This window comes from Homo sapiens, chromosome 1 (assembly GCF_000001405.40).
Source record: "Homo sapiens chromosome 1, GRCh38.p14 Primary Assembly".
NCBI classification, from domain to species: Eukaryota; Metazoa; Chordata; class Mammalia; order Primates; family Hominidae; genus Homo; species Homo sapiens.
The window spans coordinates 120,430,276-120,448,200 of NC_000001.11; the positions used below are offsets into that span (position 1 = coordinate 120,430,276).

At 43.6% G+C, this 17,925-nt stretch overlaps 1 protein-coding gene and 1 pseudogene across 6 annotated transcripts in view; one reads left to right on the forward strand and one right to left on the reverse strand.

The window, feature by feature from the left end:
- The window catches only part of NBPF8 (NBPF member 8), a 54,650-nt gene that overhangs the window by 15,249 nt on the left and 21,476 nt on the right, over window positions 1–17,925 (forward strand). For 2 of the 5 annotated variants that reach the window (XM_047429836.1, XM_047429843.1), the window contains exons 4-13: window positions 6,213–6,422; window positions 8,269–8,371; window positions 9,201–9,415; window positions 10,467–10,539; window positions 11,003–11,214; window positions 12,566–12,775; window positions 14,622–14,724; window positions 15,554–15,768; window positions 16,819–16,891; window positions 17,355–17,566. In XM_047429836.1, coding sequence (XP_047285792.1) covers window positions 6,213–6,422; window positions 8,269–8,371; window positions 9,201–9,415; window positions 10,467–10,539; window positions 11,003–11,214; window positions 12,566–12,775; window positions 14,622–14,724; window positions 15,554–15,768; window positions 16,819–16,891; window positions 17,355–17,566 — 1,626 coding nt within the window. Of the gene's footprint in view, window positions 1–5,956; window positions 6,423–8,268; window positions 8,372–9,200; window positions 9,416–10,466; window positions 10,540–11,002; window positions 11,215–12,565; window positions 12,776–14,621; window positions 14,725–15,553; window positions 15,769–16,818; window positions 16,892–17,354; window positions 17,567–17,925 lie in introns of all 5 variants that reach the window. The other 3 variants (NR_102404.3, NM_001037501.5, NR_102405.3) reach the window with 2 other exon arrangements.
- Window positions 1,929–3,834, reverse strand: PFN1P2 (profilin 1 pseudogene 2; annotated as a pseudogene). Its single transcript, NR_003242.3, has one exon. The product of NR_003242.3 is annotated as a profilin 1 pseudogene 2 (transcript).

A 17,925-nucleotide genomic window follows, 5' to 3' on the forward strand; every position in this document is an offset into this window, starting at 1 on the left:
TAACAATGCTAGAAATCTACAAAAATCTACCAGAACTAATCAGTGAGTTTGGTAGTGTTGCAGAATGTAAGCTCTCAATATAAGTGGTCTTTTGTATTTCTGTATATTAGCAATGAGCATTTGGAAAATGAAATAAGAATACAATTTCATTTAAAGTAACATCTAAATACATGTTGTGCTTATAAACAAATTCAACAGACGGGGCACCGTGGCTCACACCTGTAATCTCAGCACTTTGGGAGGCCGAGGTGGGCAGATCATGAGGTCAGGAGATGGAGACCATCATGCCTAACACAGTGAAACCCCATCTCTACTAAAAATACAAAAAATTAGCTAGGCGTGGTGGCATGTGCCTGTAGTCCAGCTACTTGGGAGGCTGAGGCAGGAGGATCACTTGAACCTGGGAGGCAGAGGTTACAGTGAGCCGAGATCGCATCACTGCACTCCAGCCTGGGTAACAGAGCAAGACTCTGTCTCAAAAAAAAAAAAAAAAAAAAAAGGAAAGTCAACAAAATTTATGTAAGGCCAGTACACCAAAAACTATAAAAAATTGCTTTAAGAAATTATGAAAGAACTAAATTAGTGGGGAGATAAACCTTGTCATGGATCAGAAGAGTTGTTATGTTTAAAAAGTCAGTTCTTCGTAAATTGATCTCCAGATCCAATGCAATTCTAATAAAAATTCCAACCGGCATTTTGGTAGAAATTTACAAGATGATTCTACCATTTATATGGTAATGTCAATGATCAAGAATAATAAAATAGCAATATTATAAAAGAATAATGGTGAATGAATTCACTACCTATTTCCAGAATTACTCTACAGCTATGAAAATCAAGATTATGTGTTTTGTTGAAAAAAAAAATGGAATATATATCAGTGGAAGAGAAGAGAGAATCCAGAAATAGATACTCACATGTATGTCTAATTGATTCTTAGGACATATATATATGTATACACACATACACACACAAACGTGTGTGTGTGTGTGTGTGTGTGTGTGTGTATATTCACCGTTTTGAAGATTATCATCTCCAAATAGGGAATATATATATATATATATTTATCATCTCCAAATAGGGAATATATATATATATATATATATATATATATATATATATATATACAGACACACACACACACATATATATATATTGCAATCTGATAAGATAAACAGCACATTGAAACAATTTCTCAAAAGACTTAGATACTTCAGAAAAGAAGATACATGAATGGGCAATTAGCATAGGAAAAGATGCTCCACTGTTTAGTCATCAGGGAGATCAATCAGTGCAACAATGAGATACCACTACATATCCATAAGAATGGCTAAAATTAAAAAGGCTGAAAATAGCACCTGTTGGTGAGGATATAAAGCACTTGGAAGTCTTATACTTGTAGGAATGAAAAATGGTATGGCTCCTTTGAAAATCTAACAGTTTCTTAAAGGTTAAACATAACACAAATCAGATAGACAGTCATTCCATTCCTAGGAATTTACACACTGTGTCTGCACAGTGATCTGTATGTGTGTTTCCAGACCAACCTGAGGGGCGGGCTGCTATTTCTCATGGCTCAGTAACGAGACACAGATGAACTGGGGAGGAAGAGAGTTTTGACTTCTGCAACTGGTTACAGGGAAACGGCCTGGAAATTATCACCAGACCAACTCAAAATTGGAAAGTTTTCCTGAGCTAATGTACCTTCTAAGCTATATGTGTATGTGGAAGTGTGCATTCATCTAAACACATAAATGATTAACTTCTTTTAATCTATAACTAAGTCTGAGTCCTGAAGACCTTCCTCTGGAACCTCAGTTAAATTCAGTTAATCTAAATGGGTCTAGGTGCTGGGGTCCCTTATCTTGTCTCCTGCTAAATCACAGAGGTTTGGAGAGTCCCTTCAGATCTCCAATAAACTTGTTTGTGGAGGCCTGGGGAGTTTCTTCAGACCCCCAATAAAACTCGTTTAATACTAAATGGCTCCTGTTAAGAATGCCTTCGTTATTTCGTCATGCTTTAAGGCCCAGGAAAAACCTAGGCAAAACTCTTGGTGGGCTTTTGTTACATTCCAGCCTTTGTATAAGGGCACTGGCTTCTTTTTTTTTTTTTTTCCTCTTAATATTTAATTGAACCACTCAGTCGGTACTGAAACAGTTGTTAGGGAGGCCTGTGTTAGTGAGACCTGGCCTGCCACGTATGGATGCTCATGATAGTTTCTTCATAATAGCCCAAACGTGGAATGATAGAAATGTCCAATAATAAGTGAAAGTACAAACATACATGGTATAGCCACACGAAGGAATACTACTCAGTATTTACAAGACATTACAGATGGATTTTAAAATTACATTGATGCATGAAAGAAGGCAGACACAAAAGAACACAGGTATCATTTCATTTATAGAAAATGGTTAAAAATGCAAACGGACCTGAAGTGACAGTGGCTCCTTGGGGCTGAGGGTTGAAAGGCTGATGAACTGCAAAGGGGTACAAGAAACTTTGGGGCATAGGGAATTTCCTCTATCTTGGTTGTGGCAGTAGTTCCGTTAGTGTATCCATTTGTAAACGTGCATTGAATTACACATTTTAAAGTGGTGCAGTCTGTTGTACCGAAATTATGCCTTTATAAAGTTGATTTCATCATCTTAATTTCTCCATACTAGCAATTAGCAGCTAGAAAATGAAATTCAATAAAACATAATAGAGATTAACAGCCAGAATCATTACATGCTTAACAATACATGCAATGAAGCAGGTACAAGGCCCCTAAAAGCAATTGGTGAGAAAAATTAAAGAAGGCTAAATAAATATATATCATGTTCATTGCTTGGAAGACTCAATTTTGTTAGCATATTACATCAACACAATTCTGCTTAATATTTCTAGTAGGAGATTTTAGAGAAATTTGAAAGCTAGTTTCAAAATGTATTTGAAAATCAAAGAACCTAGAATAAGCAAGTCGGTATTGAAGAAGCAATAAGTTGGAGGACTTACTCTGCTAGATTTCAAACCTGATTTTAAAGCTACAGTAATTTTAAAACAGTAGTAATGGTGTCAGTATTCATAAATACATCAAAGTGAAAGAATACAGACTCAAACAATATGCCCACATATGTACAGTTATTGATTTTTTTTAGTAGAAACTTTTTTATTCATAAAAAATCCATCAAAACAAAAAAGTTTTCCAGCCACACACAGGAGGGGTATGGGTGGGGGAAGGTGTCTGTCCATCTATCCCTGGCCCCCAGCCCATGTGGTTTTGGCAGCAATAAGGTGTGTGGAGTAATGACTCCTGAAATTAAAATGGTGTGTGTATGTGAAGGAAAGGCGGGCAAAGCTGTGGGGAGCGGTGGAGTGGAAGGAACAAAGGAGGTCAGTACTGGGAACGCTGAAGGTGGGAGGCCATTTCATAACATTACTTGTCGATGAAATTGCCATGGATACCTTCTTTGCCCATCAGCAGGCCTAGCGTCTTGGCAGTCATGGTGACAATGACGTTGAAGGTGGGGGCTCCACCGATGCTCTTCATACGAAGATCCGTGGTCAATTCCCCATCCTGCAGCAGTGAGTCCAGGACCACAGTATATTTCTGGCCCCCCAGTGTCAGCCCATTCATGACAAAGCTTGACCAGTCTTTGCCAACCAGGACACCAACCTCAGCTGGCGTGATGTTGAGGAAGGTTTTCCCTGGGACGGCGGCCCAGATGGAAGGCGGGTCCTTGTTGCCCACAATGGCAGTGTCCTAACAGGTCCCGTCCGCCACGAGGCTGTAGATGGAGGTGTCCACCTGGCCGTTGCGTTGCTGCAGGGGCTCCTCTGGTCGCTGCTGCTGGGGCCGCCTGGGCTGGCGGGTGGGGGAGGCGGAGAGCTCGATGCAGGTGCTGTCCTCCTCGCCACGACTCTGCTAGCTGTGCAGTAGCCCTCGCTCCGCCACTTAAAAAAGAAAAAAATATATATATATAATATATATACACGTGTTATATATATTGTATATTATGTATATACACGTATTATATATATATACACGTATGTATATACACGTATATATATTATATATATTCATGTGTGTGTATATATTATATATACGTGTATACAGGTATATATGTATATATAATATATATACACGTGTATATATATTATATATATATATACGTGTGCCATGTTGGTTTGCTGCACCCATTAACTCGTCATTTACATTAGGTATTTCTCCTAATGCTATCCCTCCCCCAGCCCTCACCCCATGACAGGCCCTGGTGTGTGATGTTCCCCGTCCTGTGTCCAAGTGTTCTCATTGTTCAGTTCCCACCCATGAGTGAGAACATGCTTGCACCGCCGCTTCTAAATGTTTTAAAAACAGACACCAATGCCCTTCATTGGGGAAATGAAAGACTTTTAAGTAAAACGATTTTGAGTGAAATAATATTTGTTGTTTTAAAAAGTTAATATTAACCACTCTCCATCATATGTTGAAATTATCTTAAGATGTGAAAGTTAAAATTAGAAACCTTGTAAAGGAAAAATAGGAAATAGTTTCATGAACTTGACACAGGAAAATATTTCTTAGACTAGATACTGTAGCACTCACCACAATAAGAAATCAAGCGAATTGCACTTCATTTTTAAAAAGCTTCTCCTTATTATGTTGTTGTTTAACAACTTAAACGCTATCTCTAGACCAGGAATAATTATTTGCTATATAATACAGCAAAAAATATGTATGTATAAATGGACTCATTCAAAATATATAAAGAACTCCTATTACAAAGAAATTGACAAACAGCCCAGTATATCAATGAATATAAAAATTTGAGAAGATATTTTCCATAAGAAGATATCTAAATGCACATTAGGCATGAGAAAACCAAATTTTAGGATATCACTACACACCTGGCATAGTTTAAAAGACTGAAAATATTAAGTGTGTGGGAATGTAGAGCAACTGGAAATGGCCTACATCTTTCATAGAAATGTAAAACAATACAAATACTTTGCAAAACTCTGTCCAACATTTTCTACCCATTCACCAAGCAACTCCATCCCTAGCTATAGATACCCAGGAAAATAAGTATGTATCTTCACAGAAATAATTGTATGAGAATATTCATAGTTACTTATGCACAGTAGTTATCAAGTAAACCTGTCTCCCATCAGAAAAATGGATATCAAATTGTGTGATAATCATACAATCAATAGGATATTACTTGGCCAAAACAAAATGAAACAAGGGAAAAACACAATCAAACAAATTAGTGGCATATATACACACTTGAGTAAAGAGAAGTCGGCCGGGCGCGGTGGCTCACGCCTGTAATCCCAGTACTTTGGGAGGCCGAGGCGGCAGATCACGAGGTCAGGAGATCGAGACCATCGTGGCTAACACAGTGAAACCCCGTCTCTACTAAAAATACAAAAAAAGAAAAAAAAAAAGAAAAGAAAAATTAGCCAGGCGTGGTGGCGGGCGCCTGTATTCCCAGCTACTTGGGAGTCTGAGGCAGGAGAATAGCGTGAACCTGGGAGGCAGAGCTTGCAGTGAGCCTAGATCGCGTCACTGCACTCCAGCCTGGGAGACAGAGTGAGACTCTGTCTCAAAAAAATAAAAAAGTCAAAACAAGAGAACATACTAAATGATTCCATTTTTTTATTTATGACTTCATGACTACCATTAAGAAAATATAACCTGTTGGGAAACTGTTTCTGCCTTGATGATGTTGTACAGACAAGAGATAAACAGTGAGGAATGTGCTTAGATGTATTGGGAAAGACACGGGTCTGTGGCATTGTCACAAGGGTACACGAATACTGAGAGTGAATGCTGAAGGAATGATCCCCATTGGTGGTGACCCTCAGGTGAGACTAGGGTGCCTGTGTTTCAGCAAAGCCTGGGCAATTGGAATGCAGGGCTCCTAAGATTCCATGACACCCCCACCTTCTAATTCTGTTATTGCAACTGCAGACGGTTACCTGGCACGCTGGCCACAATCTACCTCACTCTTATCAGAGTCTGAGCTACTGGCAGTGCTTTCAGCTCTGAGTTGAGGCACCTCGAACCTTGTTTTTGTGGTGAAGGATCCTAAAGTGCTGTGGGAGTGATCACATTTTTCACAACAGTAAGGTAAGAATTTCAGTTACTGACATCCCTCAGTCCTGATTAAACCTATTTGATTTCACCAGTTTTTAACCCATCATATGTTTGGGTTTCTTCTCCCCAGTCCCTGACTCCACCTCTTCTGCCACAAACGTCAGCATGGTGGTATCAGCCGGCCCTTGGTCCAGCGAGAAGGCAGAGATGAACATTCTAGAAATCAACGAGAAATTGCGCCCCCAGTTGGCAGAGAACAAACAGCAGTTCGTAAACCTCAAAGAGAGATGTTTTCTAACTCAACTGGCCGGCTTCCTGGCCAACCGACAGAAGAAATACAGTAAGATCTATAGGCTCACCGTCATGAAAGTGATGAATGATGTCCTGTCTTCTCTCTGAGACACTAAATGCTCTCTCCATCAAAAATAATTTCATCCTTCCTGTACTTCTAGGAAAACAGAAATGGGTATTTTAACATTTTGTTAAAGTTGGAAGACAGAGGTACCAAAGTATTTAGCAACTTTCCATGTTTGCAATCAGATGGGGGTGGGACTAGAGTTAAACTCACAGTTATTGATTTCTAACACAGGCACAGAACGACCTGTTTTCTCCAAGAGGCTCAATCATGTTTTCAAGAATCCTCTCTGTACCATATAAGATCCTGCAGACAAATAACATGTAGTCTGTTGTTCTAAATGTCTAGGACTAGTGAACTTTTATTCAGTTCAAGTTTCTGTTGAGGCCCAACAGGCAAAGCTCTGTTCTAGTGACTCTGAGGGGAACTTGGTGATAGTACCCAGTACCTGCTCTGAGGGGCTTCAAGAGGAGTCTGCTCCTAATAGAACCTGTGCTATCTATAAGTGACAGCATCAAGAGCAGGGAGTAGGGGCCGTGCAACATGGCTCACTCCTGTAATCTCAGCACTTTGGGAGGCTGAGGCGGGCAGAGCACAAGGTCAGCAGTTTGAGACTAGCCTGGGCAACATGGAGAAACCCCATCTCCACTAAAAATACAAAAAGTAGATGGGCATCGTGGCGGGCAACTGTAATCACCACTAATCGGGAGGCTGAGGCAGAAGAATCCTTTGAACCCAGCAGGCAGATGTTGCAGTGAGCCAAGATTGCACTATTGCACTCCAGCATGGGTGACAGGGCAAGACTCGTCAAAAAACAAACAAAACAAAAAGATAAATAAATCAAAAATAAAAATAAAAAGCAGAGAGTAGCTTGGTGAGAGTGAAGTCCTGCTTCCTGGTGCACAGGCTCTTGTTCCTAAAGAGGAAGAAAGATCACACCCGAGAATGTGTGGAAGCAGCAGTGCAGTGTGCAAAGCAGGGACCCTCAGCCTGTCTCCTGGGCTCCATCCAAGTTCCTTGTCTTGTCTGTCCCTCAGTTTCCTCATCTGTTCAGAGGGTACTACAATAATACCTACCTCTGTAAATTGCTGCAATGAATTACATGAGGCATTTCCTGTCAATCTCCTTGAACATTAATTGGCACAGTGTAAACACTATCTATTAGTTCTTCATTCTGATGTTTCTAAATTAACACAAACTAATCTTATGCTGTTTCTAAATTAACACAACGAATCTAAATCTTAATGCTGCCTCTCATACTAATAAAGTATTTGGGCATATTTCCTTCATGGCCTTATTGTCTTATGTCTCACACTTTATGCTTCAGATATGATTCTTAAAACCATATCTGAATATTGATTTAAAAATGAAATATTTTTAAAGTCCTTGACATATTTGTCCTTGAAATACCCAGTAAAAGGGAAACCATCAGTCCCATAGTCCTAGGGACCTTCCCGACTGTACAAGAAATCACTACTTCATGCCCCAGTGCAGTGTTTTAGAGGAGAGGCTGCAAGGCTTGGGAAAGTGGCCCCGCATTCAGAGTCAGACCTCAGGGGCTGTGAGTTCTGACTCCGCTTCGTTGTGGTTGAATCATCTTGTCAACTTCCTTGACGCGCCCTTGAGTTTCTCTTTCTTCGTCTTTAAATTTTGGAGGATCAGATGCCAGAAAGTCAGGAGACTGAAGAGTAAAGATGTGGAAATCCCTGTCTAGACCCTGGTACTGGGGAGAGTTTTGTCCTTGGGATGGACCTGGCTCCTGCCCTGTAGGCAGTGACCACAGCAGCATGTCCAGCCTTCCACTGAGGCAGGCGTGTCTGTCTTTTCTCAGAGTATGAAGAGTGTAAAGACCTCATAAGATTTATGCTGAGGAATGAGCGACAGTTCAAGGAGGAGAAGCTTGCAGAGCAGCTCAAGCAAGCTGAGGAGCTCAGGTGAGGGGAACCCGTAGGGGGAGGCAGGCGGGTAGGTGTGTAGATCTCTGAAGTACAGCAGCTCGGCGGGGAGAAGTAAGAATGAAGCTGGGCCAGGGGAAGGGCAGAAATTGCCATGGCAGGCTCATGACACACAAATATTTATCAGAGAACAAGGATAATAATAAGTTCTGTGTTGCAGTTGTTTCTTAGAGCCTTGTTTTCTCTTTTTCAAACAAGTAATTGTTGAGGTGAAATTTACATAACACAAAATTCACCAAAGGAGTGGGAACCACCCAGCAGCATTCAGTATAATCAAAATGGTGTGCTATCGCCACCCCACTTACCCTTAGTGAGAATCACCTTCTGACTGACTGCGTCTTCTCATTCTTTCACTCAATCAATGTTGCCTTCTTGACCCTGTCATTCTTTTCTTCTTTCATCTTTTCAATTCGCCCCATCTGCACCTGGCCTCATTTCTGTACATGACTTTGTATCTAGTGGCCGCAAGATGCACTATGTGTATTTTCACATGGAAATGTCCATGGCCAGAGTGAGGAACTGAAAGGATGTCTTTGAAATGGAATTAGGAAGACACCTACTTTTGTTTACAGAAGAGAAAGATGAATGGAACATCATCGAGGATCTTGCAGGAGCCCTCTCTGATACAGGGAAAGCCTGTAGACCATTTTCTGTTCTTTCTCTTGGCCACAGACATTCCTTTCAACATGTGCTGACCTTCTGCTTGAAGGTCTCCTTGTGAACATTGTCTCAGAAATCTCTGTTGCAATATTTGAACGGATCACTCAACCCTTTCTACTCTTAAATTTTCTCTACCATCTCACCTTAGGCAATATAAAGTCCTGGTTCACTCTCAGGAACGAGAGCTGACGCAGTTAAAGGAGAAGTTACAGGAAGGGAGAGATGCCTCCCGCTCATTGAATGAGCATCTCCAGGCCCTCCTCACTCTGGATGAGCCGGACAAGTCCCAGGGGCAGGACCTCCAAGAACAGCTGGCTGAGGGGTGTAGACTGGCACAGCACCTTGTCCAAAAGCTCAGCCCAGGTAAGGTGGCCATAGGCCCTGATGACCCAAAACCCCAGGCTTATGAGAGGCTCCAGACCTCCATACTTTCACAATGACAGTTGTATCAGTGGGGTTTTTTTTCTGCTACACCTATGTGGCCATGACATGACCAGGACTTCCTGGGTAAGAACAGAGATGGGAAACCCATGGTTTGGAGGTCACAGTATTGCAAGTGTCCCTCCTTCCTTGATGGAAGGTGGTCTTTGGAGCAAGAGGCAGCATCTATCTAGTTTTAAAGGACAAGAAGGAGGCTGTGATGGGAGGGCGCTTGTTGGAGTGAAAAGAGCTCTGGGCTAAGAATGAAGGTTCCCAGGCTGTCTTTTTGGCAATGTTCTTAGTAAGTGTCGGTGAGTGAGTGATTTATCTTTCCAGAGTTTCTCTCTCTCCATCTGCAAAGGCAGACAAATTGTCTCTTGCAAGGGTCTGAAGCATCCAAATATGGGAACACTTACGAATGCTTTTCAAAATGAGATGAAGCCCCTCTCCATGTGGTGTTGGAGAAGGCACTTGATGTGGGGGCATTTGGTGGTAGGAAGTGCTTCAGACTGGAGCACTCCCCATGGATAGAATGTCCCTGAATAACACAGCAGAAGCCACATGGAGGGCCTGTGCAGTCTCATGACGCATAGAGGACTGTGGGACAAGTTTGTCCTCTCCTAAGAGAAAGAATGAGGTTTGAAATGCGAACTGTGACAGGACACCAAGCCTGTTCCTGGGAATCAGATCTGTGGCAGGATGGGGGAGACAGCTGCCAAAGTCCAGAGAGAGGCTACACAAGCCTCCAGTGATATGGGAAGCAAAAGGTCTTTTCAGTATTTGGCCACATCTTGATGGTGGCCCTCCACATCAGAAATGCATTGCCCGATGGACCAGGAAACCATGCCAGGGCATTTTGTGAAAGATAAAACATGAGAGTTTTCAGTACAATGCTGAACCATACATAGATGTTCATGTCTCTGTGCACGTTGGGCTGACTGTGCTTGCAGAATGTGAAGTGGGAAATATCTGAACGAACATTTTGTATTTATAAAAAATGACGAAGATGAGGATGAAGATGTTCAAGTTGAGGAGGATGAGAAAGTGCAGAAATCATCTGCCCCCAGGTAACACTGAATACTCAGGAGCAAGTAATGGGTGGTAACATATGAAAATGTCTAGGAGGCACACCCTCTCTGGCATCTATGGTGGACCAAAAGCCCGCATCCCCTTGGCCACAGTATGTGAAATTGAACCCAGCTTAGACACAGGGTGCGGCAGCTGTCGTGTTTCTCTATGTGTGCCAAGTGTCATGTCTGTACCATACAGGGATAGCTGAGTCTTCATCCTCCTCAGCTCCTATCTGTCCAGTGCACTGAATACCAGCTGCTCTCTTCCTCTCTGGCTCCCATGGCAGCCATGGTCTGTTGCAGAGAGAAGAGGATTGCCTGTTTCCTCTTTAAGGGAACCTCCATTTTGCTTTCTGGAACCACTCTCTTAATGCCACCTGTCAAAACCAGCTAGGACTCCCTGGGGTCCAATCCCTCTGTGTTTAATCTTCTGTCATCTCTGTCCCACCTGGCTCATCAGGGAGGTGCAGAAGGCTGAAGAGAGCAAAGTCCCTGAGGACTCACTGGAGGAATGTGCCATCACTTGTTCAAATAGCCACGGCCCTTGTGACTCCAACCAGCCTCACAAGAACATCAAAATCACATTTGAGGAAGACGAAGTCAACTCAACTCTGGTTGTAGACAGAGAATCCTCTCATGATGAATGTCAGGATGCTCTAAACATTCTCTCAGGTAGCCTCTATTTTCCTTGTGTCTCATACCTCTGTCTAGGCTATGGAAGATTAATTCTGAGGACAGGCTGTATATACACATATTGTTATTGTTTTAGTCAGAAACTAGGATGGAGCTAGGTGCTGTGACTCACACATATAATCACAGCACTTTGGAAGGCCCAAGTGGGACGATGACTTGAGTTCAGGAGTTGAAGACCAGCCTGGACAATATGGTGAAACCCATCTTTACAAAGAATACAAAAAATTAGGCAGGCATGGTGCTGCATGCCTATAGTCCCAACTGCTCAGGAGACTTAGGTGGGAGGATCGGCTGAGACGATCCTCCCACGCTCGTTCACTCCTCTCAGGCTAGACTCTCTCTCCTTTTCATTGGCTTGTCTTAGCTATTAATAAGAAGTCTCGGCCTGGCGCGGTGGCTCACACATGTAATCCGAGCACTTTGGGAGGCCGGGGCGGGTGGATCACGAGGTCAGGAGATCGAGACCATCCTGGCTAACACGGTGAAACGCCGTCTTTACTAAAAATACAAAAAAAAAAAAAAAATTAGCTGGGCGCGGTGGTGGGCGCCTGTAGTCCCAGCTACTCAGGAGGCTGAGGCAGGAGAATGGCATGAACCCAGGAACCGGAGCTTGCAGTGAGCCGAGATTGTGCCACTGCACTCCAGCCTGGGAGACAGAGCGAGACTCCATCTCAAAAAAAAAAGTAAGTCTCTGACCAGGGGCGCTGGCTCACATCTTAATCCCAGCACTTTGGGAGGCTGAGGTGGGCAGAACACCTGAGGTCAGGAGTTCGAAACCAGCCTGTCCAAGATGGCGAAACCCCATCTCTACTAAAAATACAAAAATTAGCTGGCATGTTACTTGGCGCTTGTAATCCCAGATGCTTGGCAGGCTGAGGGATGAGAATCGCTTGAACCCGGGCGGCAGAGGTGGCAGTGAGCTGAGATTGTGCCTCTGCACTGCAGCCTGCACGACAGAGTGAGACTCCGTCTCAAACAAAAAACAAAAAACCAAAAAAGAAAAAAATTAAAAAAGCAAAATGAAATCTTTTGTGCTACACAGAAACATTGGCCACTCATGGGGTAAAAATCTCAGGGCCAAGCCTTGCTTTATAGAAACTTATAAGCAAGAAAAGTGTAGAAGTGTTTATGTCCTGGTTTCAAGGTGACTGCATAGCTGAGACAAGTTGACTTAAAGGAGATCAAGACTGGAGATGACAAGAGTGAAACCAGGGAAACATCATCTTCAAATAAGTAAACAAGGCTGCCAGTGACATCCCTCAGTCCTGATTAAGCCTATTTGATTTCACCAGTTTTTAACCCATCATGTGTTTGCCTTTCTTCTCCCCAGTCCCTGGCCCCACCTCTTCTGCCACAAACGTCAGCATGGTGGTATCAGCCGGCCCTTTGTCCAGCGAGAAGGCAGAGATGAACATTCTAGAAATCAATGAGAAATTGCACCCCCAGCTGGCAGAGAAGAAACAGCAGTTCGTAAACCTCAAAGAGAAATGTTTTCTAACTCAACTGGCCGGCTTCCTGGCCAACCGACAGAAGAAATACAGTAAGATCTATAGGCTCACCGTCATGAAAGTGATGAATGATGTCCTGTCTTCTCTCTGAGACACTAAATGCTCTCTCCATCAAAAATAATTTCATCCTTCCTGTACTTCTAGGAAAACAGAAATGGGTATTTTAACATTTTGTTAAAGTTGGAAGACAGAGGTACCAAAGTATTTAGCAACTTTCCATGTTTGCAATCAGATGGGGGTGGGACTAGAGTTAAACTCACAGTTATTGATTTCTAACACAGGCACAGAACGACCTGTTTTCTCCAAGAGGCTCAATCATGTTTTCAAGAATCCTCTCTGTACCATATAAGATCCTGCAGACAAATAACATGTAGTCTGTTGTTCTAAATGTCTAGGACTAGTGAACTTTTATTCAGTTCAAGTTTCTGTTGAGGCCCAACAGGCAAAGCTCTGTTCTAGTGACTCTGAGGGGAACTTGGTGATAGTACCCAGTACCTGCTCTGAGGGGCTTCAAGAGGAGTCTGCTCCTAATAGAACCTGTGCTATCTATAAGTGACAGCATCAAGAGCAGGGAGTAGGGGCCGTGCAACATGGCTCACTCCTGTAATCTCAGCACTTTGGGAGGCTGAGGCGGGCAGAGCACAAGGTCAGCAGTTTGAGACTAGCCTGGGCAACATGGAGAAACCCCATCTCCACTAAAAATACAAAAAGTAGATGGGCATCGTGGCGGGCAACTGTAATCACCACTAATCGGGAGGCTGAGGCAGAAGAATCCTTTGAACCCAGCAGGCAGATGTTGCAGTGAGCCAAGATTGCACTATTGCACTCCAGCATGGGTGACAGGGCAAGACTCGTCAAAAAACAAACAAAACAAAAAGATAAATAAATCAAAAATAAAAATAAAAAGCAGAGAGTAGCTTGGTGAGAGTGAAGTCCTGCTTCCTGGTGCACAGGCTCTTGTTCCTAAAGAGGAAGAAAGATCACACCCGAGAATGTGTGGAAGCAGCAGTGCAGTGTGCAAAGCAGGGACCCTCAGCCTGTCTCCTGGGCTCCATCCAAGTTCCTTGTCTTGTCTGTCCCTCAGTTTCCTCATCTGTTCAGAGGGTACTACAATAATACCTACCTCTGTAAATTGCTGCAATGAATTACATGAGGCATTTCCTGTCAATCTCCTTGAACATTAATTGGCACAGTGTAAACACTATCTATTAGTTCTTCATTCTGATGTTTCTAAATTAACACAAACTAATCTTATGCTGTTTCTAAATTAACACAACGAATCTAAATCTTAATGCTGCCTCTCATACTAATAAAGTATTTGGGCATATTTCCTTCATGGCCTTATTGTCTTATGTCTCACACTTTATGCTTCAGATATGATTCTTAAAACCATATCTGAATATTGATTTAAAAATGAAATATTTTTAAAGTCCTTGACATATTTGTCCTTGAAATACCCAGTAAAAGGGAAACCATCAGTCCCATAGTCCTAGGGACCTTCCCGACTGTACAAGAAATCACTACTTCATGCCCCAGTGCAGTGTTTTAGAGGAGAGGCTGCAAGGCTTGGGAAAGTGGCCCCGCATTCAGAGTCAGACCTCAGGGGCTGTGAGTTCTGACTCCGCTTCGTTGTGGTTGAATCATCTTGTCAACTTCCTTGACGCGCCCTTGAGTTTCTCTTTCTTCGTCTTTAAATTTTGGAGGATCAGATGCCAGAAAGTCAGGAGACTGAAGAGTAAAGATGTGGAAATCCCTGTCTAGACCCTGGTACTGGGGAGAGTTTTGTCCTTGGGATGGACCTGGCTCCTGCCCTGTAGGCAGTGACCACAGCAGCATGTCCAGCCTTCCACTGAGGCAGGCGTGTCTGTCTTTTCTCAGAGTATGAAGAGTGTAAAGACCTCATAAGATTTATGCTGAGGAATGAGCGACAGTTCAAGGAGGAGAAGCTTGCAGAGCAGCTCAAGCAAGCTGAGGAGCTCAGGTGAGGGGAACCCGTAGGGGGAGGCAGGCGGGTAGGTGTGTAGATCTCTGAAGTACAGCAGCTCGGCGGGGAGAAGTAAGAATGAAGCTGGGCCAGGGGAAGGGCAGAAATTGCCATGGCAGGCTCATGACACACAAATATTTATCAGAGAACAAGGATAATAATAAGTTCTGTGTTGCAGTTGTTTCTTAGAGCCTTGTTTTCTCTTTTTCAAACAAGTAATTGTTGAGGTGAAATTTACATAACACAAAATTCACCAAAGGAGTGGGAACCACCCAGCAGCATTCAGTATAATCAAAATGGTGTGCTATCGCCACCCCACTTACCCTTAGTGAGAATCACCTTCTGACTGACTGCGTCTTCTCATTCTTTCACTCAATCAATGTTGCCTTCTTGACCCTGTCATTCTTTTCTTCTTTCATCTTTTCAATTCGCCCCATCTGCACCTGGCCTCATTTCTGTACATGACTTTGTATCTAGTGGCCGCAAGATGCACTATGTGTATTTTCACATGGAAATGTCCATGGCCAGAGTGAGGAACTGAAAGGATGTCTTTGAAATGGAATTAGGAAGACACCTACTTTTGTTTACAGAAGAGAAAGATGAATGGAACATCATCGAGGATCTTGCAGGAGCCCTCTCTGATACAGGGAAAGCCTGTAGACCATTTTCTGTTCTTTCTCTTGGCCACAGACATTCCTTTCAACATGTGCTGACCTTCTGCTTGAAGGTCTCCTTGTGAACATTGTCTCAGAAATCTCTGTTGCAATATTTGAACGGATCACTCAACCCTTTCTACTCTTAAATTTTCTCTACCATCTCACCTTAGGCAATATAAAGTCCTGGTTCACTCTCAGGAACGAGAGCTGACGCAGTTAAAGGAGAAGTTACAGGAAGGGAGAGATGCCTCCCGCTCATTGAATGAGCATCTCCAGGCCCTCCTCACTCTGGATGAGCCGGACAAGTCCCAGGGGCAGGACCTCCAAGAACAGCTGGCTGAGGGGTGTAGACTGGCACAGCACCTTGTCCAAAAGCTCAGCCCAGGTAAGGTGGCCATAGGCCCTGATGACCCAAAACCCCAGGCTTATGAGAGGCTCCAGACCTCCATACTTTCACAATGACAGTTGTATCAGTGGGGTTTTTTTCTGCTACACCTATGTGGCCATGACATGACCAGGACTTCCTGGGTAAGAACAGAGATGGGAAACCCATGGTTTGGAGGTCACAGTATTGCAAGTGTCCCTCCTTCCTTGATGGAAGGTGGTCTTTGGAGCAAGAGGCAGCATCTATCTAGTTTTAAAGGACAAGAAGGAGGCTGTGATGGGAGGGCGCTTGTTGGAGTGAAAAGAGCTCTGGGCTAAGAATGAAGGTTCCCAGGCTGTCTTTTTGGCAATGTTCTTAGTAAGTGTCGGTGAGTGAGTGATTTATCTTTCCAGAGTTTCTCTCTCTCCATCTGCAAAGGCAGACAAATTGTCTCTTGCAAGGGTCTGAAGCATCCAAATATGGGAACACTTACGAATGCTTTTCAAAATGAGATGAAGCCCCTCTCCATGTGGTGTTGGAGAAGGCACTTGATGTGGGGGCATTTGGTGGTAGGAAGTGCTTCAGACTGGAGCACTCCCCATGGATAGAATGTCCCTGAATAACACAGCAGAAGCCACATGGAGGGCCTGTGCAGTCTCATGACGCATAGAGGACTGTGGGACAAGTTTGTCCTCTCCTAAGAGAAAGAATGAGGTTTGAAATGCGAACTGTGACAGGACACCAAGCCTGTTCCTGGGAATCAGATCTGTGGCAGGATGGGGGAGACAGCTGCCAAAGTCCAGAGAGAGGCTACACAAGCCTCCAGTGATATGGGAAGCAAAAGGTCTTTTCAGTATTTGGCCACATCTTGATGGTGGCCCTCCACATCAGAAATGCATTGCCCGATGGACCAGGAAACCATGCCAGGGCATTTTGTGAAAGATAAAACATGAGAGTTTTCAGTACAATGCTGAACCATACATAGATGTTCATGTCTCTGTGCACGTTGGGCTGACTGTGCTTGCAGAATGTGAAGTGGGAAATATCTGAACGAACATTTTGTATTTATAAAAAATGACGAAGATGAGGATGAAGATGTTCAAGTTGAGGAGGATGAGAAAGTGCAGAAATCATCTGCCCCCAGGTAACACTGAATACTCAGGAGCAAGTAATGGGTGGTAACATATGAAAATGTCTAGGAGGCACACCCTCTCTGGCATCTATGGTGGACCAAAAGCCCGCATCCCCTTGGCCACAGTATGTGAAATTGAACCCAGCTTAGACACAGGGTGCGGCAGCTGTCGTGTTTCTCTATGTGTGCCAAGTGTCATGTCTGTACCATACAGGGATAGCTGAGTCTTCATCCTCCTCAGCTCCTATCTGTCCAGTGCACTGAATACCAGCTGCTCTCTTCCTCTCTGGCTCCCATGGCAGCCATGGTCTGTTGCAGAGAGAAGAGGATTGCCTGTTTCCTCTTTAAGGGAACCTCCATTTTGCTTTCTGGAACCACTCTCTTAATGCCACCTGTCAAAACCAGCTAGGACTCCCTGGGGTCCAATCCCTCTGTGTTTAATCTTCTGTCATCTCTGTCCCACCTGGCTCATCAGGGAGGTGCAGAAGGCTGAAGAGAGCAAAGTCCCTGAGGACTCACTGGAGGAATGTGCCATCACTTGTTCAAATAGCCACGGCCCTTGTGACTTCAACCAGCCTCACAAGAACATCAAAATCACATTTGAGGAAGACGAAGTCAACTCAACTCTGGTTGTAGACAGAGAATCCTCTCATGATGAATGTCAGGATGCTCTAAACATTCTCTCAGGTAGCCTCTATTTTCCTTGTGTCTCATACCTCTGTCTAGGCTATGGAAGATTAATTCTGAGGACAGGCTGTATATACACATATTGTTATTGTTTTAGTCAGAAACTAGGATGGAGCTAGGTGCTGTGACTCACACATATAATCACAGCACTTTGGAAGGCCCAAGTGGGACGATGACTTGAGTTCAGGAGTTGAAGACCAGCCTGGACAATATGGTGAAACCCATCTTTACAAAGAATACAAAAAATTAGGCAGGCATGGTGCTGCATGCCTATAGTCCCAACTGCTCAGGAGACTTAGGTGGGAGGATCGGCTGAGACGATCCTCCCACGCTCGTTCACTCCTCTCAGGCTAGACTCT